This window comes from Homo sapiens, chromosome 2, assembly GCF_000001405.40.
Source record: "Homo sapiens chromosome 2, GRCh38.p14 Primary Assembly".
Lineage (NCBI taxonomy): Eukaryota > Metazoa > Chordata > Mammalia > Primates > Hominidae > Homo > Homo sapiens.
This window is the reverse complement of record NC_000002.12, coordinates 95,136,880-95,161,750: the sequence shown is the minus strand read 5'-3', so window position 1 is coordinate 95,161,750 and position 24,871 is coordinate 95,136,880. Positions and strand designations below refer to the sequence as shown.

At 44.9% G+C, this 24,871-nt stretch overlaps 1 protein-coding gene across 10 annotated transcripts in view, besides 1 other annotated feature; it reads left to right on the top strand.

The window, feature by feature from the left end:
* Positions 1,827-2,076: a silencer, noted in NCBI's record as "silent region_11740". NCBI's record gives its function as "represses an Ori minimal core promoter by ATAC-STARR-seq in GM12878 lymphoblastoid cells {active_cell/tissue: GM12878}" and the evidence as "EXISTENCE:reporter gene assay evidence [ECO:0000049][PMID:35858748]".
* The window catches only part of ZNF514 (zinc finger protein 514), a 36,744-nt gene continuing 13,775 nt past the window's right edge, over positions 1,903-24,871 (top strand). For 4 of the 10 annotated variants that reach the window (XR_001739001.2, XR_001739002.2, XR_007083281.1 and 1 more), the window contains exons 1-5: positions 2,166-2,891; positions 4,312-4,400; positions 8,492-8,618; positions 8,982-9,077; positions 11,484-12,866. Coding sequence is in view for 4 of the 10 variants with exons in the window: in NM_001318005.1 (NP_001304934.1) it covers positions 2,768-2,891; positions 4,312-4,400; positions 8,492-8,618; positions 8,982-9,077; positions 11,484-12,469 (1,422 nt within the window). In the remaining 6 variants the exon portion in view is untranslated. The other 6 variants (XR_007083314.1, XM_047446081.1, NM_032788.3 and 3 more) reach the window with 6 other exon arrangements.

Here is a 24,871-nt window from a genome sequence, read left to right as displayed (position 1 = left end):
TCCCAAAGGACACAATGTAAGAGTGGGGAATTTCAGACACTGCAGCAGGCCTACAGAATGGGCATCAGGGAAAGGCAGTGGCCCTCAAGTTCTTCTGAAGTAGTTCCATTTCTAGTTCTGTTGAGCCATCAATGAGATGAAAATCTTTTCTCATTTGTCCATCCCCTCACCTTTTTGGTTCGGAGCACCGAAGATGGAAAAGCTCCTATATCAGCCATGGTTCCCAGACAATGTCCCCCTGCGTGGAAAAGGGCTTGCTTGCTGCGCCATCCTGGCCATCTGTGCCACTGGAAGTGCTGGCAGAAAAGTGAAACAGAGACTGCAAAAGCAGGAAAGGAGAATGGTCTCTTTGCCTTGATTTCGTGTTATTTTGTCTTTGCCTTGATTTTGTAAGTTATTTTGTCCTGAACTCCTAAATAGGGTTGATAAACCAATCTCTCTGTCCTCACAAGTGGCCCTTCTCTGGCTGAGGACTGCCTCCAGAAAACCACCGTTTTAATACTCAGACTGTGTCTTAGGCATTGGCGCTGCTATAACAGAGTGTCTTAAACTGGGGAATTTGTAAACAACACAAATTTGTTGTTCACAGTTCTGGATGCTGGGAAATGCAATATCAACGTGCCAGCCAGTTCAGGGGCTGGTGAGGGTACGTTTCTCATAGATGGCACCTTCTGTGTCCTCACATGGCAGGAGGAGCAAAGGGGGCTTAAGGCCCGTTTTTATTTTTATTTATTTATTTAATTTATTTTTTGAGACGGAGTCTTGCTCTGTCGCCCAGGCTGGAGTGCAGTGGCACGATCTTGGCTCACAACCTCTGCCTCCCGGGTTCAAGCAATTCTCCTGTCTCAGCCTCCTGAGTAGCTAGGATTACAGGCGTGCACCACCACGCCCAGCTAATTTTTAAATATATTTTTGGTAGAGACAGGGTTTCACCATGTTGGCCAGGCTGGTCTCAAACTTCTGACCTCAAGTGATCCGCCCGCCTTGGCCTCCCAAAGTGCTGGGATTACAGATGTGAGCCACCACGACCGGTCTAAGGGCTGTTTTTAAAGGGCACTAATCTCATTCATGAGGGCAGAGTCTTCCAAAGGCTCCACTTCTTAATACTATCACCTTGGGAGTTAGGTTTCAACATATGAATTTGAGGGGGACACATACATTCAGACCATAGCAGGCCGTTTTTCCATTTCTTTTGGGTCCTAAATGATATTTGTTTCTGGAGTAGGAGGGCGTTCAAAGTCCTCTTTTGTTCTTCAGCACCCTTCGCTGAATTCAGGGGCAGATGGAGAAAGGCAAGAGGCACGGGGCAGCCTGTAGAAGCAGTATCTAGCACTGAGTCCCCAGTATCCCCTAGGCACGCCAGGAGAGCCTCCTGGAAATCCTCACTCAGCAGATCCAGGGTAGGAACGCGGCTTCTGTTGAATAGCCTTACATCGAGATATGCAGGTTGGGGGCGGTGGCTCACACCTGTAATCACAGCACTTTGGGAGGCTGAGGCGGGAGGATCATCTGAGGTCAGAATTCGAGACCAGCGTGGCTAACATAGTGAAACCCCGTCTCCACTAAAAATACAACAAATTAGCTGGGCGTGGTGGCGGGAACCTGTAATCCCAGCTCCTACGGAGGCTGAGACACGAGAATTACTTGTACCCAGAAGACAGGTTGCGGTGAGCCGAGAGCGCGCCCCTGCACTCCCACCTGGGCGACAGAGTGAGGCTGTCTCCCCCCTCCCCCCAAAAAACGAGAGAGATATGAGGCTCAGCTACCAAAGTCACGCGCGAGAAGGGAAATGCTTGTAGGTCCCTGCCCTTGGGGGAGAGCGGAGTGAAAACCGGCGCGTGGCCGGCGAGCACGGCCCCTCCCAGCGGAGGTCCTACAGGCGCCCGCGAGCCCCGCCTCTCCAGCTTCGCCGCGCCAGCACCCCGCCACCGGCGCTGGCTCTGAAGGGCCCCGGCGGCGGCCGCGTCTGCGCAAGCTCGGGACGGCCTCGGGAGGCGGGGCTGGCGCGGGGCGGACGCGGGGGCTGGCGCGGGGCGGACGCGGGGGCTGGCGCGGGGCGGACGCGGGGGCTGGCGCGGGGTGGCGGGCGGGGGCTGGCGCGGGGTGGCGGGCGGGGGCTGGCGCGGGGTGGCGGGCGGGGGCTGGCGCGGGGTGGCGGGCGGGGCCTGGTCCTGTGAGCGTTCGGAGACTGCGGGCGCGCAGACCTGTACTGGGCCCGCGCCCCGGCCCCTTACAGAGCTGGGTGTGTCCCTCCGAGTGCCCCCCGCTAGGGACTGTGCAGGCCGGAGCTAGGCAGGGACAGCGGGGCGAACCGGGCTGATAGAGTCGGTCCCTGCTCCTGTGAGGCTCTCACCGAATCCCTGCTGTTTCCGGGCAGCTGAAGAGCGCTGGGCCCTCGCGTCGCGGGCGTGGCTGTGGCCGTGTCTCCTGGTAGTCTGAGCCCACTGTGCGTGTGGATCCACGTGGGAGCTGGGTTCCAGAGCCTGGTCCTGAGGAGGAGCCGAGCCGGGGGTAGGAGGCCGGACTTGGCGAGGGAAGAGCACGACCCCGGGCAGCAGTGCGCCGCGCTGGGCGCACCGGGGTTTGCCGGCCCTGCTCTGGGCCCTGCAGGTCCGCTGGCCCCGCCGCGCCTAGTGGGGATGCCCCGTGTCCCCCAGGCAGCCCCAGCCTGCGTCCCGCTCCCTGAACCCTCGGGAGGACCACAGGGCTGTGGCCGAAAGACAGAGATTTGGACCTAGTGAAAGGACGCCGCTCCTTAGCCCCAGCTATGGACTCCACAGCATCAGGTTTGGCTCTGGAGCGTGCAGAGGGCCAGGAGCCCTCTTGGGGAGCTAGTACCGAGCCCGATATCAGGAGGACCCCAGGAAGAGGCCGGGGAATCCCACTGAAGGGTGAGGCTGTACTTCATCTGCCTTCCGTGTGGCGACATCTAACCTTCCAGACCCAGAAGGCTGAAGCCGCAGTCTCCTGGGTCTGGCAGGGGTCTCTAGATGACCGTGGCGGAGGTGGAGGGGATGGCCATGGAAAATTGTCCCAATGGCCAGAGGAGAGCAGAAGAGGATCTGATCTCTTCCTGCTGCGGCAGGGAGAGGGCAAGCAAACCCAAGAGGGAGTGGCCCTTGGCCAGGGATCAGAGGACGATAGGGCCATTTGGAGCCTTGTCATCCACCTCCTTAATCACCTCACTAATAAGGTTCTTCCAGTCGTTCTAGCTCAGCGGTGTATAAGGTCAGCAGTGTACATGGTGGGTATCTCCTCTGAGCCCCTTCCCCCAATAGCGTTGGGGGCAGGGCAATCCAGGTGACCCAGGAGGTTTTAAGCCAGTCCTAAGTTTAGAACGTCCTATCTCTAACCAGGTGGGCATTTTAATCCGACTGTTCATCCTTCAGTGCACATGCTCAAGGACACATAACTGGCCAGTGGAAGAACTGGGCCCAGTCCGTGGGCTTCCCACCCCCTCTTTTTTCCTTTATACCCTTGTTAATCAGTGTGGCTCTGGGAACAGCAGAGGCATTGCCCAGAAGTTCTCTAGAATTGCAGACTCTGGGGCCCCACACATCCTCAAACAGTGTCTTAGCAAGTCTTGAGCCAGAGTTTAACAAGATCCTCAGGGATCCACACACACATGAAGCTTGAGGAATGCCTAACTGTGCTATGCTTACACCCATGTTGTTAGCCTTAACTACTTCTCTGGCATGGTTTGGGTTAGTTTTTTTGTTTGTTTTAAGGCTTTTATGAACAGTATGATGCAAAGCTTTATAATGAAGGAGCTCTCAAGTGTGTTGCAGAGACCTAACAGAGCTTGGGAACACCAGGGGCAGCTTCTCAGAAAGAGGTGGCCTCTGAGCTGGGTTCCCAAGGATGAGGGGAGAGGTGTAACTTCCTCCCCTTAAAGCCTCATAATCCTGCATGGCCTTGCCTTGGGTCTTGTGTAATTGTTAACCTGTAGGCTAGATTTAAAGTTCCTTGAAGTTCTTTTCCATATTTATATTTCCAAAAGTCCTAGGAGATGACCTGCATACAGTATGCCCAGTAAATAACTTCAGTGGTATGGCCAGACTGGTCACACTTCACTCACTTGTAGACTGATGTGGGCTGTGGACAGGTGGGAGCCTCATGCAGCTGTGTACAGGGGCACTTCTCTCAATGTTTGAAGGCTAGAAGCTGCCTCTCAGATCCTTTTGATCCACTGGTGTCCTCAGAACAACGGAGGTGACATTCAGAGCTGTTCTGGGTCTCAGGCTTGGGAAGTCTGAGAGCTGTGTGTGCTGGCTGGGTCAGCTTCCCTTATGTCTCCTTCTACCTTCCCAGCTTCCCCTTCTCAGAATCCTGCTCTTCCTCCAGAGAGATTCCCAGGAGAAGAGGGAACAACCAATTCATTCCTGAAAGCCAGGCCTCGGGTGAGTTGTATTCTTAATTTTTCCTCAAATGCCTGAACGATGGTTAGCTTTGCCTACTTTTCACCAAAAAGTAGCCTCTTTTTTCACTAAGGGAACTGACCCAATGCTGTCTCTGCAGGAGGCTGAGCCCATCCAAGTGAATGATGGCTCCCTGACCTGTCCGGGGTGTTCTCTTCTTGCTGTGCACCCACTCAGATCGTTTGGGCTTACTCTGACATATTTCTAGAAAGGGCACTGTGGTGACCACCAGGTAATGTGACAGCCCTGGCCTTGAAAGAGTGTCACAGCCACAGTGGAAGAGGACCCTGACACCCAGGACGCAGCCACCAGTAACAGGATGTGAATGGTTTGATGCCAAATGGAGTGGCACAGACAGGCCTTTCCATCGAGGTTCACGAAAAGGGGAATCGGCCTGTTCTGGAGAGGTTGGGAAAGCTCATGGAGAATTGGGGACAAGCAGGTTCTGAGGGTATGGACAGGTGGGCAGGCTATTTGAAGCTGGGTCCCTGTTCAGATGTTATCTCCCTGGATAAGGGAGGAGGCACACTTAACTTTACTACTTACAGGCTGTGTGGCCTTGGATGAGTCACCTAACCTCTCTATGCATTGGTTTGCCACCAGTAACATGTTAAGCAGGCAGCAGTAACATGAAGACTATAATAATGTTAATGATGATGAAAATAGTTATTATTTATGGAGAACAAAACCTGTATCAGGAACTATTCTCTACAATTTACACATACTAATTCATTTTGTCTCTAAAACATTCCCATAAATGGTTACCATTTTGAAGAATGGTAACCAAAGTGTGGAGAGGTTAACAGAAGAAGTCAAGGCACAGAGAGAGAAAGTAACTTGTTCATGGTTATCTAGTTAGTGAGGAAGGGACCCCAATTTTACATCCAGGCTGTCTGGCTCTGAGATCTTAACCACTCAATCATAGAGCCGCCTCATGTTGTTGTTAGAGTCCGCTGGCAGTTCCGCTGGCAGATGGTAACTGCCTAATCCTTGTTGGCATCAGGGATCATGGTGACTGGCCCTCAGGGGGGATTCAGGTTTGTCTCTAGTGAGCTGGATGTGGAGGGGTACAAATGCCAGCCTCCGGGGTTTCCCAGCATCCAGGATAGGCATGGGATTCAGGTTTGATGATAGACACTGACATTTAACTTTCAAGCCAAAAGGGGGAACCCCCCTAGTAAGGAATTTAATCAGTAAAGTCATAAATAGCAGTTAAATATTTTTGGCCCTGATGTACATCATTCAGAGGTTTATCAGAGCACTTAGGTGGGTTCAGTGTGGTAATGACAGCCCCACATCTCAATGGCTCGCAGTTAGAAAGAGTGCCTTTCTTCTTTCTGCTGTCTTTGTCAGTAGTGGGCTGACTGTGACTCTGCTCCACACCCTCTTCTCTCTGAGCTTCAGGCTGAAGGGTCAGTTCCCTCTGGGATATGCTCTTCTTGTATCAGAGGGAAAGAGCAGTGTGAGAACCCGGGGATGGCTCTTTGGGTTTCCACTCAGAAGCGGCACATGTGGCTTCTGCTCACAACCCACTGGCTGCTGCAGGTCCTGTGGCCAAGCCTAATGTTAATGAAGTGGGAAGTATTAGCTTCCTAGAGTGAGGATCCTAAAGGGAAGGGCAGGGATTATGTTAAGCGAATAATTCATCTATCACTGTATATTTTCTTACCCATAGATGTTCACTTCCCTCTCTCCTGCACACAAAATGCCCTCCAAGAGAAATAACCCAAGAGCTGCATCCAGTCAGAGCATCATGATCAAAGTCCTGGATGGCGCGATAGTCTGGATGGAGATCCTGTGGGTCTGGATACCTATAAACTAAAAGGACAATTACCTGAATCCATATATCCAATATACAATGAGCAATGGGGACAGGATGGCCATGGTAGACACTCCTTTGCAGAAGAGGGAAGCATGGGAAGAGTCAGTCCCGGGTCCATAACAGTCGTGAAATTCCACTGGACAGACACTGTGAGGACCCTTGGTCTTGGGAGTGGGAAAGTCTGTAGGTTACACCCTGGTTCTGCTCCCTGGGTGGAGCTCCCTGGCCTAGTGTTTTCCTTGGCTGTTGGCTTTGCCATTGGGAAGTTCCTTCGTTTTGATACCTCCTTGGTGTCATATGAAGATGATACTGGAGAATAAGCTTTCTTGGGGGCAAAGCAGCTTTTTCATCCTGCTGGAGTAGGTTGGTGGCCCAGGATTGTTTTAAGTGCAACTCTAAAAAACTTAATCAGCTTTTTATGAATTTGTTTCCAGTTGGCTCCATGTGTCAGTGGTTTGACCCACAGTTCTTTTTGAAATATGCCCCCTTCTTTAGCCTTAATTGTGGAGTTTTTGGATTTCCTTGGGAAATCTATACTTTTTTCACTCTGAACAATTTGGTCCCACTGAAAGCCTTTATTGGGAGCCTTTTGAAATTACTGGGAGATTTACTGGGAGCCTTTTGAAATTACTCAGAGGTTTAAACAAAAAGGTTTGACAACCACATCCATGATTTGGTCCCTGATAATGGGCTGAGTTTTAATTAGCTGTTGTCACGCAGAAGCTGATGTATATTGTCTTTGGCCAGTTGGAAATGAGAATTGGTTGTCTCCAACCCTGCAAGCCCTAGCATTTCTGGACATTTCCTATTGCCTTCCATTTTTGTTTTGCAAACCACAAACTCTTGAGCTCATTTTTTCTTGTAATACTTTGTCAAACTCAGCCAATAACAACCAGCTCACACTACTAATGTTATGTTTCCAGCCTCTTCTCATAACATCACAAGCTCATGCTTTCATTGTTCATCTTTCAAGTTACTGAAGGCAATAGTTTCACCAAACAGTTCACCACCAAATTACATGGGTTGCCACCTTGCCAATAAGTTTCTTCACTGCCTGGCCTGGATGCCAGTGTCATCTATTTTTGGCTTTTTGTTATGGCAGAACTCCACTGTGAGTACCAGTTTTTTAAGGAGTCAGTATAGGCTAGTTATGCCATGATAGCAACAGCAAACCCTCAGAGACTTACACCATGAAAGGTTCCCTCTTGCCCATGTTACGTGACAGCTGTGGCTTTGCCCACATCTTCACTCAGATCATTTGCCATTTGCAAGGCAGACAGGAAAGGACAATTGCAGAACCCCCACTGGCTCTGAAGGCTTTTGCTCACCTGTAGCTCGTGTCTTTCACGTTCAGTTTGAGAAAGCAGATGACATCGCCCCACCTGGGGCAGGGTGAGGCAGAAGCTCAATTCTTTAGGGAGGGTCAGTGGATATTTTGGACAAATAATATAACCTATCAAAAGAGGTCACTATAGTAGTGAATTTTTCATGTTTGATTATTTTGGATGATTTTATATTATAAAATTGTTACTTCAGCTTTTCTGTGGAATCAGTATCTAAATGGGATTTGATTTTTAAATACTTTGGTGTAAAAGTAACAGGAATTTGTAGTACTTACTTTCACCTATTTTGCTCTTTAGTGGATTGCCATACAATATAAGCTAAATGGGAGGTGTTCTAATTACTGAGATTGAAGGTGACAGGATAGTTCTGGCCAGGACCTGTAGAATAATTATGCTTTATAATGGTGACCTGGGATCCAGGGTCTCATGCTCAGCTTTATAAACTTAGGAACTGAATAATGAGTAGGCTTTGGGGGAAAGGATCATGCTAGTCAAACGCACAAAACTTATTGTTTCATCATAAAGCCACTTGTGATTTACTTTTGCTGAACTGTGTGCTGGCAGGCAGGTGGAGGATAAATTATCATAAGCCCCAGATTACTTGATTTGGCCTTATTGTTGTCAGAATCATAGGTCACAAGTTTCAAAAATACTTTATTAGAAAACTGTTGATCCTTGTGTATTTGAGAATGCAAAGCATATTCATTTGTTAATTCTAATTGATTCCAATTAAATGTAACTAGATTGAGAATAAAACCTTTTGACAAATGAGGAAATGTATTACATTTACCTCCACCTGAGAAGAATGTCTCTGTAGGCCTGATTCACCTGAGACCCTGATTATATTTCCTAGCAGTTTCATATTGATAAGCATATAAGTGGACACTGGAGTGTCTTCTGTGTTTCAGGACCTGATGACATTTGAAGATGTGGCTGTGGAATTCAGCCAGTGGGAGTGGGGGCAGCTGAACCCTGCTCAGAAGGACCTCTACAGGGAGGTGATGCTGGAGAACTTCAGGAACTTGGCCATTCTGGGTGAGCACAAGCCCTCCAAAGCCCACCCAGCAGGACTTCTTGATTTCCTTGATGTTTAAGAGCTAGTGGTGTCTGGGCTGGTTGGCTAAGTTTGGCCCTGGGTTTCCTTGGGAAGTCTGGAATCAGACATTTACATTCTCTTTGGGGCCCAGTGATACAGTATTTCTGTTCCTAGTTCTAGGAAACATCCAGCTACTTATGGAGTTGAAATAGGAAGTTACCTGGCTGTGTTCCTAACTTTTCACAATGCCTGTTCTCTGGAGGCTTTCCATGCCTACAGTATTTCTCCACCTTGAAGATGAATATCCAAAGACTTGGCCACTGGCACACACAACCAAAATCCTTTTCCTTCTCTACCATCAGGCCTTCTAGTATCCAAACCATATGTGATCTGCCAGTTGGAGGAAGGGGGTGAGCCCTTCATGGTGGAGAGAGAAATCTCAACAGGAGCCCACTCAGGTGAGTGAGTGAGTGAAAGCATTGCATATGATAAGGCCCAGCTGGGGTGGGAGGTAGCCCAGAGCCTTTGGTCAGTGTGCTGTCCTTTCAGAAGATGAGATCACTTGGCAGGAGCCCTCAACTCTGGTATGTTGAATTTTGTAATTATTTCTGGTGTCAGGAGAGGAGATGTTCCTTTGCTTTTCTAGTCTTTATGCTTTGTTTGGTTCCCATCTCTGCCCATGCCTTCTGGGTTATTGGTGCCATGCAGCATCACTAGATGTCTCACAGTCAATGTTAGATGGATCAACAATCGTATAGGGCCAGGCAATCCTAGATCAGCAGAGTTAAGGGAGTTAGTGAGGGATCAAACAAAAAAGTTGAGCACCCCAGAAATGAAGGGGTTACAGGCAAGGACAGACAGAAGATGTCACGAAGATCCAGGTGAGGACACTTCAAGCTTGATTAAGGTGAGTCTCAAAAAAAGTGGTTCCAGGAACAAAGACTACTCCTTGACAGCTGTTAACAGCATCCCTTTGAGACCTTTGATTCTCAGGTGACTTGAGAGTACCTGGTAGGCTATATGCCTTGGAGCAGAATTCTTGACTCAAAGCTTTCCTGACTGCTGTGTGTAACCCAAGCACACTGGAGGCACGTGACAGTCTATGCCAGTTCATTTCCATGAGCCAGAACCTTACCTGTGGCCAGAGCTGAAGCTCAGGAAAGTGGTGCTAAATTCCTGAGAGGATAGGCTGGGCTTTATGAAAGGGAACTAGGTTATGGCAGAGAGGGAAGATGCTGATATCCTCTGTACTGGTACTTACTTGATCTTTTTTCCTTCCAAAATGAGATCAAGGGTCTGACATCTGGATCTAGTCATCTGTTTATTTAACAGTGGTATATGAGCATGGCTGTGTTTCAGAATGTCCCAGGGAGCTTGTTAAACATTCAGGTTCCCAGGAGCCACACAAGACCTATTGACTCAGAAACTCTCTGACTGGCCTCTGGGACCACTGGTTAGGCATTACCAGTCATTTCCTTCTTCAGAAGTGTGCTTGTTATTATTATTTTATTAATTTTCCACTGTGGCTGAAACAGAGTAGCACAAACTTGGTGGCTTTAAACAACACAAACTCATGTCATAGTTCATAGGTCAGAAGTCTGGCATGTGTATCACATGGTTCCAACCAAGATGTCCACAGGGCTGCACACCTTTCTGGAGTGGCTGGGCACCTTTTTTCTTTTCATTTGGGTTGTTGGCAGAACCAATACCTTGCAGTTATAAAACCGAGGTCCTTGTTTTCTTGCTGGCTATAAACAGATGGGTGTTCCCAGCTTCTAGAGACTGCCAGATTACTTGACTGAAAGTGCCCCTCGTCCATCTTCAAAGCCAACAATGGTTTACACATCTTTCTGCCCAGCCAGGAAATGCTCTCCGATTTTAAGCACTCATGATTAGATTTGACCTATTTAAATAATCCAGGATAATCTCCCCATCTCCAGGTCTGTGCTCTTAATCACATCTGCAAAGTCCCTTTTGTCATATAAGGTAACCCACTCACAGGTTCTTGTGATTAGGGCATGGGCATCTTTAGGGGAGAGTTTCTCTTCCTATCATATAGAGTAATATGATACATGTTATATGTATATGTGCATAATATATAATAATATAGGGTGTGCACTAAGGTGTTAAAAGAATACTTCGTGGAGGACATGAGCTTGTCCCTGAAAGGTACGCAAAGTCTTAAAGAAAGAGAGTGGTGAGAGGGGCAGTGGATATATGGGAAACAGGAAGGCAGCCAGTTTCTGTGCTCAAGGCACTTGCTGAAAAAGAGGACAGGACCTGGTAAAGTATTATAGAGCTATAGTGGAAGATAAAGGGTTTATCCTGTAGGCACTGGAGAGCCTTTGGAAGATTAAGACTGGGAAGAAACTTAAGGAAATGGGCATTTGGAAAAGAAGAAAGTGAAGGGTTTCAGGAAACCTGGAGGTAGGAAGACTGGGTAGAATTCTGTTACAATTATGTAGGCTTGAAGAAATTGTGAGAATATAGAATCTGTACCTGGGTGACTTACGATCCTATACTTGGTTTATTGATTTTTGTCTCCATCCTTTACACTTAGTCTATTTCCTTGTCACCCTTCCTACCCTCCTCTCATCTTTAGTCTTTGGACTTACCTTGTGTACTGGAATCTAAACACATATCTCTCAGATTTTCTTAATCTCCAGTCATCTGCTCATCACTCATTCTTGATACTCCAAAACCATCTTCAGACATAAGCCATTATTGAAAAAATCTGTACGTCCCTTTTAGGTGTTATTTTAAAGCTTAATTATTTCACATTCATTATAGGAGCTTGCTTTTCTTGCTACATAGGACATTCTACATACTAGAATGTCTTCTTTTTTTTTTTTTTTTTTTAACAGACTGGAAGAGAAGGTCTAAATCCAAGGAATCAATGCCAAGTTGGGGAATTTCCAAAGAAGAATTATTCCAGGTAGTATCAGTGGAAAAACACATTCAAGATGTGCTGCAGTTCTCGAAGTTGAAAGCAGCCTGCGGTTGTGATGGCCAGTTAGAGATGCAGCAGATAAAACAGGAGAGACACCTGAAACAAATGTCAACCATTCACAAATCTGCCACCACCCTTAGCAGAGATTATAAATGGAATGGATTTGGGAGAAGCTTAGGTTTAAGATCAGTCCTTGTTAACCAACACAGCATTCTCATGGGAGAAGGATCTTATAAATGTGATACAGAATTCAGGCAGACTTTAGGGGGAAACAACTCTCAGAGAACCCACCCAGAAAAGAAATCTTGTAAATGTAATGAGTGTGGGAAGTCCTTTCACTTCCAGTCAGAACTTAGGCGCCATCAGCGATGTCACACTGGAGAAAAGCCGTATGAATGCAGTGACTGTGGAAGAGCCTTTGGTCATATTTCATCCCTTATTAAACATCAAAGAACTCATACTGGAGAAAAGCCCTATGAATGCAGTGAATGTGGGAGAGCCTTCAGCCAGAGTTCGTCTCTTGTTCTGCACTATAGATTTCACACTGGAGAGAAACCCTACAAATGTAATGAATGTGGACGAGCCTTTGGTCACACTTCATCCCTTATTAAGCATCAGAGGACTCATACTGGAGAAAAGCCCTATGAATGCCGGGAATGTGGGAGAACCTTCAGCCAGAGCTCATCACTCATTGTGCATTACAGATTTCATACTGGAGAGAAACCTTACAAATGTAATAAATGTGGGAGAGCCTTCAGCCAGAGTTCATCTCTCACTCAACATTACAGATTTCACACTGGAGAGAAACCCTACAAATGTAATGAGTGTGGAAGGGCCTTTGCTCATACTGCATCCCTTATTAAACATCAGAGAAGTCATGCTGGAAAAAAAACCCTATAAATTCAGTGAATATAGAAGGGCTTTCAGCTGGAGTGCAGACATCACTGGAACTTAAAGAATTCATATCAGAGAGAGATCCTAAAGGTGTAATGTATGTGGGAAGACCACATCTTGTTCCACATCAGGCAATAATTACTAAAGAGAATCCCTGTCAATGTCAAGAGGGGGTGGGCTTCCCCTCTCTTACCAAACATGGGAGAATCCATACTAGTGAGAAACCACGTGAATGTAATGAATGTGGGAACGCTTTGATCAGAGGATGCATATTATTCAGCATCAGACAGCCGACACTGGGGAGGAGCCTTATCAATGCAGTGAGTGTGGCAAGCCTTCAGTTACATACTGATTCTTTAAGAAAATCAGATAACTTGTACTGGAGAGAAATCCTACAAGTGTGGTAAGTATGGAAAAATCTTCAGTTGTATCTCTTCCTTTACTAAGCATCAAGAACACATACTAGAGAGAGGCCCTATGAAAGCAGGAAATAGAGGAAGGCCTTCAGTCAGGGCTCATCCCTTATTAAGCATCAGAAAATTCATACCTGAGAAAAACCTGTGAATGTGGGTAATGTGGGAGAGCCTTCAGCCAAACCTCATTGCTTTATAAACCCCTTAGAACTCTCCCTACTAGCTGGAAACTCTGGTGACGTGATGAATGTGGGAAGGGCTTTGGTGGATGTTCCACCAAAACACGTTAGAGAATTTGTACATTAGAGAATTTGTGCTAGAGCAACTCTTCAAATTTAGTGAAACTGGGAAAACCCATTAGTAGAGTTCAAGCTTCAGTATTCATCTCAAAGAGAAACCTTGGGAACATGATGAATGTGAGGAAAGTTCCTTTCCAACTTGAGATGTATAAAACTAGAGCTGAAAAGAAGCTGAGAAATCACCTTGTCTGGTGATTTTCTGCCTGGTGGGGCCATTTGTATAACGACACTTGTGCATTGCCTCCTCATGCTGTTACTGACGGGGCAGGGTGTCATGCATGGGTGCAGAGGATGGAGGCTGAGAAAGGTAGACAGCTACCCATGATCTAGCCCAGTCGTATTTTAGAGCTAATAAAACTGATGTTCAGAAAGTGACATGCCTTGGCCTATAGTCCTAACTGGGCTGGGCCTCTTTCCTGTGGTTCACAGCTGTAGTATGGAGATTAATAGACTGGATCTTTGCAGTACAACACCTCTATGCACTTCTTTCTCTGTAGCACATGTTACCTTTCTTTGTGAGGCAATGGAGTGGTCTAGGATTGAGCAAAAAGCAATTTTTGTTACATCTTTATGCTAATAGATTTGGAATTTTTGAAATGAAATGAAACCTTGTTTAAACATTAAAATTACTAAAATAGGCTGGGCGCGGTGGCTCACGCCTGTAACCTCAGCACTTTGGGAGGCCGAGGCGGACAGATCACGAGGTCAGGAGTTCGAGACCATCCTGGCTAACACAGTGAAACCCTGTCTCTCCTAAAAATACAAAAAAATTAGCCAGGCATGGTGGCGGGCGCCTGTAGTCCCAGCTACTTGGAAGGCTGAGACAGGAGAATGGCGTGAATCGGGGAGGCAGAGCTTGCAGTCAGCCGAGATCACGCCACTGCACTCCAGCCTGGGAGACAGAGTGAGACTCCGTCTCAGAAAAAAAAAAAAAAAACAACTAAAATATGGGTATTATGCACAATCCAGATCTCAAAAACGTGATTCTAAGTGAAAGAAGGCAGATGCCAGAGACCAGGTATTTTCTAGTACCATTTTAGGAAATGTCCAGAAATGGCAGATCTTCAGAAACAAAGTAACTGCAAATGTTACAAGGAATCTTTTTAGGGTGACGAAAATGTTCTAAAACTAGATGGTGGTGATGGTTGAACGATTTGGTAACTTCACTAAAAATCATTGAATTGTTCACTTTATATGGGCAGATTTTATGGTAAATATACCTCAATAAAATCATTTTTCAAAATCAAATTTACACATATACCAACCATTGCTAAACAAGTATTCCTGTTTTGTTTGTTACTTCAAGCCATCTATGCATTTTTGGTATCACTTTTTATTTTCTGTAACAGTTACCCCTACATTTACTGGGTCTCAGAACCTTGTCAGGCTCTGCTTTAAAGTTCCTACCATGTTGGCTCTGTAACTCAGGTGGAGAAGCCTAGACCAGGAGCTGGCGTAGACCAAAGGATACTTGCCTAATAAGGATTAGCTTATACTGAGGAAAATACTTTAAGCATTTAAAGTCCAGATGAGGAAGTTGAGCCCAGAATTCAGGGAACCAGCTCAAAGTGGGCCCATGCAGACAGGCTGGGTCTAAGAGTCCACAAGGTTGGCCAGGGCAGGTAGGATGCACAGGAGGCATCTGGATCTGGAAGTACTTGGACAGCTGAGGTCAAGATCACACAGAAATTTATTCCTGGACAGCCAAGGTTTACAGGAGCAGAAATAGCAAATATTTTCTTGCTCCGTCTCTCCCTTTTTTCCCAGTGCCCTTTTCTGTACCTACCCAGATCACTTTATACCTAGACATCTGTCACAATTTTGTAACTGGTCTTCGTCCAAAATCTGTCTCCTCTTCTCATGTATCCTTGCCATATTAACCATACTTACCAGTTTGAACCCAGTGTCCTGCCCTCCAAAAATCCTTTGCACGGCCTACAAGATAAATCCTCACCCCCCGTGTGTGGTATATAATGCCCTCTTTAGGCTGCTCCAACCTCCTGCTGCTCCTGACAGAAGCCTCCATTGCACACAAATGCTCTCTTGTCATCCCTCAGACATGCCTTTCCACATCTCAGCCTGCAAACCTTTACCTTAGCTGTTCTATCAGCCGGGGGCACCTTCTCTACTTACCTAAAGCCTACATAATCAGTCAGAAACCTGTGTAAATTTCCCTTCCTTGGAGAGGTGTTCTCTTGAAAACTGATATGAAGTCATATCTTACCATTTGTAATCATAAACATATTTGTTTGTGTAAGTTTTTAAAAATGGACAATATCTAGACTTGTGGTAAATCGTATCACTGTCTTGATCTATTTAAATAATTTTTTATCACTTTACCACTTTCTTGTTTCCTGAACCAGATGACAATGGAAAAAGTCAAATGGTAAAATATTTTAAGAGATTTATTCTGAGATAAATATGAGTGACCTGTAGGCACAGTTGACCAGCATTTGCCTTAAAACAGAGACCTTAAGACTAACAAAAACAGACTCTTTGTAGCAATAACAACATGACAGTAAGTCCTGAGAGAAATCAAAGTGTTTTACGCCAAAATAGATTTAAGTCTGATAAGAAACAAGTCTGACACAGCCCCAGGAGATCCTGAGAACATGTGCCCAAGGTGGCTCTTGTCAGGAGCAGCAGCAGGTTGGGGCAGCCTAAAGAGGACATTACCAAACACGGGAGTGAGGATTTATCTTGTAGGAAGTGCAAAGGATTTTTGGAGGGCAGGACACTGGGTTCAAACTGACGAGTATGGTTAACATGGCAAAGGTACGTGAGAGGAAGAGACAATTGTGCTGTCAGGCTACAGCTTGGTTTCATGCATTTTTACATTTTAGGGGAATGTAAGACATCAATACATGTAAGATTTACATTGGTTCGATGGAGAAAGGCAGGACAACTTGAAGCTGGTGGGGAAGGGACAGGGACAGAGGGAGGGCCTTCTGGGTTATAGGTGGATTCAAAGATTTTCTGATTGGCAGTGGGTTTATCCAAAGACCTGGAATCAATAGAAGGGAATGTCTGGGTTAAGATAAGGTGTTGTGGAGACCAAGGTTCTTACTGTGAGATGAAGCCAGAAGGTAGCAGGCTTCAGAGAGAATAGATTGTAAATGTTTCTTATCAGACTTAAGAGAAATTTATTTTAGGATAAAATACTTAGATTTCTCTCAGGGCCTGTTATCTGTCATGTTATCTTATTGCTACAAAGAGCCTGTTTTTGTCAGTCTTAAGGTCTCTGTTTTAATGTTAATGCTGGTCCACTGTGCCTGAATTCCAAAGAGAGGAAGGTATAATGAGGTATGTCTGACCACCCATTCCCATCATGGCCTGAGCTAGTGTTTCAGGTTTACTTTAGAATGCTCTTGGCCAAGTGGAAGGGTCGATTCAGTTGGTTGTGTGCTTAGAATTTTATTTTTGACTTACATAGACTATCAGCTGCTTCATGTCACATCTCATGCTTCTCTTATGTTGCCCAGTTTTCTCAGTGCTTCCGACTGCATGTTTTTGTACTATATGAAAAGCCTTCTTTCTAGAAGACTACCAATTAAATATTTCTTTAGAAAAATGTAATATTGCTTACTGTAGTTATTTTTCAAATTCAAATATAGATTAGCACTGTTCCATCTTTTAGGGATAGGTTGGGGTGTGTGTGTGTGTGTGGTTACATAGAAATTCAGTGTATTTTGTAGGACTGTGATGACTTCTGATACCAATTACCCAGAGTTAAGCCAAATTTCATGTGTTAAGGATACAGTAGCCCACAAGACTGCCCTCACTTCAGATAACAGCCATGAATTTGGGAGTTCCCAGGCTACCTTTACTTATAATCAATTGGTTACAAATTCAGGAATTCTCATGATATCTGCAGGTTGATAACTTTCTAGAATGTATATCAGAACTCAGGAGAGTACTATATTTTTGATGACAATTATAGAAAAAGGACACAAATCAGAACCAGCCCAAGGATGAGATGCATAGGGAAGAGTATGGGAGTACCCCAAATGCAAAGCTTCTGTCTCCCCAGCAGCATGTTACCCTGCTGGCACACTGATGTGTGACAATGCACAGAGAAATGCCTACCATGGAAGCTCACATGAGTTTTGGTGTCCAGAGTTTTTATTGGGGTTTTATTAAATATTCATGAATGATTGAATCATTGACCTCACAGTTGAACTCAATCACCAGCTCCCCCTCCTCTCCCTACTGATATTACATGCCTGAAAGCCCCAACTCTAATTACATGCTTGGTATTTCTGGCATGACCAGCAACCATCCTGCTATCTCATTAGCATAAAGTAGAGGCCAACTGTCAGTCACCTCTGTAGCATAAACTATCAGAAAATGCGGGGGTCTGTCCTGCAGACCCTGACCCAACAATGGATGAATAAAGTACACTGACACACAGATACTCTGCTTTGCCAGTCCAGCTGAGTGTCTGGGCTGCTTACAGACTCCAAGCAGAGTGCTATCAACAGTTGGGACCGCTGCCCTGACCAGCTAGTGAGACTTGCATTTATTCAGTAAAGATTAATTGACAGAGGCTTGAGTCAACACCACTAGATGGTAATTGACACTGTGGACTTCCCAAGTAGAAAGCAATTAAGCACCCACTGTAAATCAAAGGTTAGTCTTAGGACCACATGAATAAACAAACTAGTTAGGTAAACTCCCCACATTCCTTTCTTTCTACTTTAATTTATTTAACTAAGAGTACAAGGCTGCCTTCAGCCAAGTTTATTACTGGAGCAAGCCCTCCAGGCCTTCCAAGAATGTTTGCGTCATTTAATTTTCCCCACCATCCTGACTGAACCCCCACAAGATGTGGCCCACCATGAATAGTAAAAGGCACTTGTATCCCTCAGGAAATTCCAATGATCTAGAGGTTATTTCTCAGGAACTAGGGATAAAGTCCAGCCAAGTTCTTTATTTTTATTTTATTTATTTATTTTGAGACAGAGTTTCAACTCTTGTTGCCCAGGCTGGAGTGCAGTGGCACGATCTTGGCACACTGTAACTTCTGCCTCCCGGGTTCAAGCAATTCTCCTGCCTCAGCCTCCTGAGTAGCTGGGATTACAGACATGCACCACCATGCCCGGCTAATTTTGTGTTTTTAATAGAGACGGGTTTCTCCATGTTGGTCAGGCTGGTCTTGAACTCCTGACCTCAGGTGATTCACCCGCCTCGGCCTCCCAAAGTGCTGGGATTACAGATGTGAGCCACCACACCTGGCCCAAGTTCTTTATTACACAAGCACACACCCTCAAACAAATCAATATGAAAATGATTCAGTTATTATTCAAATAAGTCACAAACACTAAGACTGTCAAGGACTTCCCTTTTGATCATTCTCTTTGTTGAGAAAGATTGACCAGTTCAGAGAAGGCAAGAGATCCAGATCTTCACCACTTGGAGATTGTTCAGTTGTCTCTGTAGTAAACTGTACCAGGATATCTTCTTGATCTTTTTGTTCTATCATTATGGCAATCATCTGATAAGAGAGCAGCTGTACAGAAGCATTGAGCAAAGAAGTGCTTTCTTTAAGGTGATGTATAGCTTATTCTACCATGTCTGTTTGATTAATCCAAGTAGAGTAAGAAGTAATAGCAATGACACAGATGCTATCATGATTAGCCAACAAATAATCCTAGCAATGCAATTGTCCATCACAACTTGTGCCAGTAAGTTGAGACAGATCTGTATTCCATCTAGGGAAGAGGTGGTGTCATTCATAACTTCGGCCAGAGTTAGTGATAGGTCTTTTTCAGTCTTTTTATTTCCCACCATTGGAGCACTGCTCTGTTCACATAAACAGTAAGTAAGCAATTCCTCAAGTAGAGTGCCTGAAGAATCACGGGTGATCTCATTTGGAGCTCCTGCCTGAGTTGGAATTTCCAGCATTGGTGACTAGAGTTAGGATTTCAATACACAGGCAAGTCTTGAAATACTATTCCTTAATCTGGGGAAAATAAGACTAGATGTCCTGGGAAAAATGAAGTGAACCTGGTAGGGGCACACAAAACTCCAGAAAAAAAGGGAGTTGTTTCATGGCTCAAAATTGGAACAAAGGCCTTACATTAACTGTGTTACAAATTTGGATTCCTATTAATGTCTCTTCCAGGTGATAAGTAACTAATTCATCACCCTATGAAGTTCATTGGATTCAAATTTAGAATTACCTGGAGTCAGATCAATATACTATCATAATTGGTTCTTTTTCTGGGAGAGAAGGACACTAGTAAAACCACAGCTGGGTTTATTTAATGTCATTTGTTCTGTAGGTGCAAGTGAAAAAGCCATTGTCTATTATTCCCTATAGACTCATTTGATGAGACTAGAGCTTGTCAAATGTATTTATCATGGTGGTCTGGTGACAGATGGTATAACCAATGTTGGTAAGATTGAGGGTACTGGCTACTGTTTAGGAAAATGTAAGAATGGCATTAGAATGAGCATGTTCTGATGTAACAACTATAACAAAAATGAAAGAAAAGAGACAAAGGGCCACTGTGGGTGGGTGACAACCAGGGGTCTATAGAAAATGAAAAGAAGAATGACCATAAGCAAGCAGATGAAAAACAAAACAGAATTTTTACAGACGTCTTGGACTGATATCTTGGGCAGAGGCTATCTACTATTCAAGATAATTTATTCTGAGGGTCTTGAATTATCTGTATAGTTCTGAAGATCAGCTATGTATAGAATACCCTGGAGAATCCTAGTTTGTAATTTTCTATTGGAGTAGCCATCTTGTTGTGTCAATTCTTAATTTTTTCCTTAGTTGCAAAATGAGTACAACTTGACTCCCTAGAGTTTGATTGATTTATTCCCTGGAGTTTCACTGCTGTATTTTTTGCTAATGGTACCTGATAATGTCCCTCACAATAAGGTTCAAAAACAGTTTTTCTTGGATGACTCTTCCAGTAGACAAAATCTTATGATTTAACATTATAAAGAGGCTGTTTAGGAAGATGCGGGAAGGTGGCCTCAACCTGTTGGTGATAAGACTGTTGGTGACAGTACTTGAGTCCTTTACCCTATTTTTCCATGCCTTCATACAGCATGGTAGAGTATAGTATTGGAGGTAAAATCCCTAAATAAGTGGGCCTTCCAGTTACCAGTTCTTAGGGGGAGAACTGATACGTCCCCAGGGGAGTGAACCAAATGGCCCTAAGGTATTCTGGAAGTACCTTTGCCTAGAGAGTGCAAGGGTTTCTGAAAATTTTGTTAATTTTAACTTAAGGATGCTATTTATTCTTCCAAGCTTTCCAGAAGATTGTGGATAGTAAAAGAAGTATAATTTTTGAGTAAGCGTTAATGCCTTATGGAGTTTTGTTATGTGGTTCCTGTATTAGCCTGTTCTTGTAATGCTATAAAGAAATACCTGAGACTGGGTTTTTGGGGAACAGGTGGTATTTGGTTACATGAATAAGTTCTTTAGTGGGGATTTATGACATTTTGGTGCACCCATTACCCAAGCAGTATATACTGTACCCAATGTATATTATCCCTAATCCTCCTCCCACCGTTTCCCCTGAGTCCCTGAGTCCCTGAAGTCCGTCTGTTGTATCATTCCTTTCTTTTCTTTTTTTTTTTTTGAGATGAAGTCTCACTCTGTTGCCCAAGCTGGAGTGCAGTGGCGTGATCTCGGCTCACTGCCACCGCCACCTCCCGGGTTCAAGCAATTCTGCTGCCTCAGCCCCCCGAGTAGCTGGGACTATAGGCACACAACACCATGCCCGGCTAATTTTTGTATTTTTAGTAGAGACGGGGTTTCACTATGTTGGCCAGGCTGGTCTCTTAACTCCTGACCTCGTGATCTGCCTGCCTCAGCTTCCCAGAGTGCTGGCATTACAGGCGTGAACCACTGCACCCGGCTCCATTGTATCATTCTTATGCCTTTGTGTCCTCATAGTTTAGCTCCCCCAACATCCCAACATATATATATATATATTTTTTCAAGATGAAGTCTTGCTCCGTCAACCGGGTTGGAGTGCAGTGGTGCAGTCTCGGCTTACTGCAACCTCTGCCTCCTGGGTTCAAGTGATTCTCCTGCCTCAGCCTCCCTGGGATTACAGGCAAATGCCACCACACCTGGCTAATTTTTGCATTTTTAATAGAGATGGGGTTTCACCATGTTGGCCAGGCTGGTCTCAAACTCCTGACCTCAAGTGATCTGTCCACCTCAGCCTCCCAAAGTGCTGGGATTACAGGCGTGAGCCATGGTGCCTGGCTCCCCAACATACTTTTTAAAAAAATGTTAAAAAATTTTTTCTGGAGTTTTATTATTATTATACTTTAAGTTCTGTGGTACATGTGCACGGTGTACAGGTTTGTTACATAGGTATCCATGTGCCATGTTGGTTTGCTGCACCCATCAACTCGTCATTTACATTAGGTATTTCTCCTAATGCTATCCCCACCCTCAGCTCCCCTCACCCACTGACAGGCCCCGGTGTGTGATTTTCCCCTCCCTGTGTCCAAGTGTTCTCACTGTTCAATTCCCACCTATGAGTGAGAACGTGTGGTGTTTGGTTTTCTGTCCTTGTGATAGTTTGTGAGAATGATGGTTTCCATCTTCATCCATGTCCCTGCAAATGACATGAACTCATCCTTTTTTATGGCTGCCTCCCCAACATACTTTTAAATGACCAGATCTTGTAAGCACTTTTTCCATTCATGAGAACTCCACCACCATGAACAAATCACCTCCCACCAGGCCCCACCCTCAACATTGGTATTACATTTCAACATGAGATTTCAGTGGGGACAAATATCTAAGCCATTTCATTCTGTCCTTGGCCCCCTCCAAATCTCATGTCCTTCTCAAATTGCAAAATACATTCATGCCTTCCCAATAGTTTTCCAAAGTCTTAACTCATTCCAGAGTTAACTCAAAAGTCTGAAGTCTCAAGTTTCATTTGAGACAAGGCAAGTGCTTTCACTTATGAGCCTAAAAAATAAAAAAAATCAAGTTATTTACTTTCAAGATACAAGGGGTGTATAGGCATTGGGTAAATATTCCTATTCCAAATGGGAGAAAATGGCCAAAAGAAAGGGGCTACAGTCCCCATGCAACTCTGAAATGCAGCAGGGCAGTAATTAAATCTCAAAGCTCCAAAATAACCTCCTTTGACTCCATATCCTGCATCCAGGGCACACTGCTGCAAGGGGTGGGCTCCCAGGCCTTGGGCAGCTCCACCTCTGTGGCTTTTCCATGCTGAGATTGCAAGCTGCTGGTGGCTCTACCATTCTGGAATCTGGAGGGCAATAGCCCCCTTCCCACAGCTCCACTAGGCAGTGCCCCATTGGGGACACTGTGTGGGGGCTCCAACCCCACATTTCCCCTTGACACTGACCTAGTTGAGGTTCTCTGTGAGGGCTCCACCCCCACAGCAGGCTTCTGCCTGGGCACTGAGTCTTTCTCATACAGACTCTGAAATCTAGATGGAGGCTGACAAGCATTCTTCACTCTTGCACTCTGCACACCAACAGGTTTAATACCACGTGAAAGCTACCAAAACTTACTGCTTGCATTCTCCAAAGTGGCAGCTTGAGCTGTACCTGAGCCCCTTTGAACCCCAGCTGGAGCTAAAGCAGCAGATATAGGCAGCACTGTCCTGAGGCTGTGCAGGGCAGCATGGCCATGGGCCTGGCCCATAAAACCATTCAGTCCTCCTAGGCCTCAGGGCCTGTGACAGGAGGGGCTGCCACAATGGTCTCTGAAATGCCTTAGAGGCTTTTTTCCCATTGTCTTGGCTATTAGCACTTGGATCCTTTTTAGTTATGCAAATATCTCTAGCAAGTAGTTGCTCCACATCCTGCTTGAATTCCTCTCCCAGTAAAGCTTTTTCTTTCTCTGCCACAAGGTCAGGCTGCAAATGTCCCAAACTTTTACACTCTACTTCCCTTTGAAATACAAATTCCAACTTTAAGTCATGTATTTGCTTCCACATCTGAGCGTAGGTTATTAGAAGCAACCAGGCCACATCTTGAATGCTTTGCTGCTTAGAAGTTTCTTCTGGCAGACACCTTAAATCATCACTCTGAAATTTAAACTTCCACAGATCCCTAGGGCATGGATATAATACAGCCAAGTTCTTTGCTAAGGCATAATGGGTGACCTTTGCTTTGGTTCTCAATATGTTTCTCATTTCTATCTGATACCTTGGCAGCATGGACTTCACTGTCCATATCACTATAAGCATTTTGGTCACAAGTACTTAACTAGTCTTTAAGAAGTTCCAAACTTTCCCTCATCATCTTGTCTGCCTCTGAGCCCTCCAAACTCTTCCACCCTCTCGCTGTTACCCAGTTACAAAGCTGCTTCTGCATTTTCAGTTATCTTTATAGCAATGTCCCACTGCTGGATACCAATTTTCTATATTAGGCCGTTCTTGCATTGCTATAAAGAAATACTTGAGACTGAGTAATTTGTAAGGAAAAGAGGTTCAACTGGTTCATAGTTCTGCAGGCTTTACAGGAAGCATAGTGCTGACACCTGCTCAGCTTCTGGGTATGGGCTCAGGAAGCTACAATCATGGTGGAAGGTGAAGGGTGAGTAGCCACATCACATGGTGAAAACAGGAGTGAGAAAGAGTTGATGGGGGCAGGTATCTCCTAAATGACCAGATCTCATGAGAATGCACTCCATTCATGAGAACTCCACACCCATGATCCAGTCACCTCCCACTAGGCCCCAACCTCAACATTAGTGATTACATTTCAACATAAGATTTGGGTGGGGACAAATATCCAAACTATTAATTTATCAGTTCCCCTAAAGTGTATGTGCCTTGATCACTTGCTATAAAAGTTTGGATGTTCCAGGTTGGAAACTTCTTAGTGGCTGTAAGGACTGCAAATTTTCAGAAAGGAAATGCTTCAACCCCATTAATATAATACATACAATACTAAAACATACAATAACTAAAACATATTCAAATATCATGAAGGGAGGAGGCTGGATAAAATCCATCTGAAAGTTTCCAGAGGGCTCTTGAGACTTTGGTTCCTGGCCATGTCCTACCTTTACAGTTTTTCCAGGACTATGTTGACAGATGGTGTGCAGCCTAAAAATACTGTTAAAAAGCTGTTCTTTAAAGTTTCTGCATCAATGTTAATTTAAGATAGTAACAGTCATATGTACCATAATGGATAATATAATGGAGAAATTTAGCTGATATCCACTTGAAAAAACCTGGCACAACCACATGGCCATTTTGGGACCACTAGGGATTATTTGAGTGAAGATTATAATTTTTAACACTTTTCATTTCCAGAATCAGGGCCTTAATGTTGATATTTTTGAATCTCTTGGAATTCCTCCAGAGATGGATCCTTTGAGGGTTCAGTTAGGAACATAGCCTTGGTTAAGGCTGCTTCTTTGGCGTGGTAATCAGCTAGAGCATTTTCTTTCACTTCCATATTATCTTTTTCGTATTATCACTTCTCATACTATCTTTTCATGAGCCTTAGCTTTCATAACAGCTACAATCTAAGAAGTAGGGGTGCATCTACCTAATATAAGTTCTTTAATTTGTTGTTCATTTTCGAAGAGGGTTCTATCTGAGGTTAGGAAACACTCTTTGTTTTTAGAGTACCCTAAAGTCATATACTCCTCCCAAGCATGTCTGCTATCTGTATATATGTTTACTCTCTGGTATTTGGCTAGTTGATGAGCTCTATATAGT